The sequence below is a fragment of the Homo sapiens genome, chromosome 1, assembly GCF_000001405.40.
Source record: "Homo sapiens chromosome 1, GRCh38.p14 Primary Assembly".
NCBI lineage: Eukaryota > Metazoa > Chordata > Mammalia > Primates > Hominidae > Homo > Homo sapiens.
In genome coordinates this window covers 22,684,402-22,685,816 of record NC_000001.11, presented here as the reverse complement: position 1 = coordinate 22,685,816, position 1,415 = coordinate 22,684,402, and positions in this window count along the sequence as shown.

Here is a 1,415-nt window from a genome sequence, read left to right as displayed (position 1 = left end):
GTCGCTGAGGACAGAGCTGTCAGGACCAGGAGTGACAGGGCTTCGGGGGGATGGGAAGGAGAGTGTGGCCTGGGGGCTGTGCGCCAGCTAGGCGGGGGCTGCTGTGGGAGGATGGGAGGGTCTGTCTCCTCCCAGCCTTGCTGAGCAAAAACTGCATAATCCAAGCCAGTTTCCAGAAGGAGCAGCCAAGGAGGGGCCCCACCAGGGCTCAGCCTGAAGGGGAACTGGGGACAGGGAAGGAGGAATGGGCTGGAGGCCCCGGGGCTAGGAGATGATGCTGGAGGTGTGCCACGTACCCAGCCAGGGGTGGGAAATACTCAGGGGAGAAGCATCCAGGGCCTCAGTGAGAAAGGAACCAGAGGGGGTTCTCTCCATCTTTGAGTCTCTGGTGTGTTTGAGAATTCGGACGCCTTGCTAGGCAGAGGCAGGTGCTGGCTCAGACGATTGCAATGCATGTCCTCCTAGCAACAAGCTATGGGCCTGACCCTGGCCCTCTGCACAGATACTGTTCTATGCAGTCTCTTTTGTTGGATTTGGGTGGAAGAAAGCCAATCCCAGACTGCCCCCATCCTTCCCTAGGCAATTGGGTGGGCTCTGCCAGTGTGCTAGCCCCACGCTGTTTGCTAGGGAAGAACTGGCCCACAAGGACCCCCAAGACACTTGGGTGAGATAAGCAGGGACCCATGACAGTAGCTAATAGTGAACAGTTACTAGGCACCTGGCACTGTTCCTTATGTGGATTGATTCACTTAGTTCTCACAGCAAATCCGAGAGATAAGAACTATTGTTATCCCCATTCTAAGGATAAGGAACTGAGGGACAGAGAGGTCAACTGGCTTTCTCAGGGTTTAAATGCAGACAGCCTGTCCCCACAGCATGACGCTTACCCACTGTGCTCTGCTAACGTGTCTCAGGAGTGCCATACCGCACTGGGAAGCCCCGTGGTGGCAGCCACAGAAAGGGCTGAGGGAGCTCTGAGGTGTGCATTCTCCCAGCTGGGGGACGTCAGGAAGGCTTCTTGGAGGAGATGCCATATAGCAAATAATTAGCCAGGCAAAGGGGGTCAAAGCAGGAAGCATAGAGGAAACAGCATATGCAAAGGCCATGAGAAGGTCGGGGAGAACGTGGTTCTTCAGAGAGCTGCAGGGGGATGCCCTGTGGCACGGAAAGGCGAGGGGCCAAGGGAGAGCAAGGACGCTGCCGAGTGGGTGGGACTTTACCGGCACGAAGGGTCAGGCATCGAGGCCCGGAAAGGTATGAACACAGAGACGGATCCACATCTCCAACTGGAGGTGCCACAGGCTCCTCAAACTCCACATCCCCAAACTGAAGCCATCCCCTTCCCTGGCCCCCGCCCTGCTTATGCTCTGTGTCCTCCCTCTCAGGGATGTCCCACCAACCTCCTGCTTGCAAAA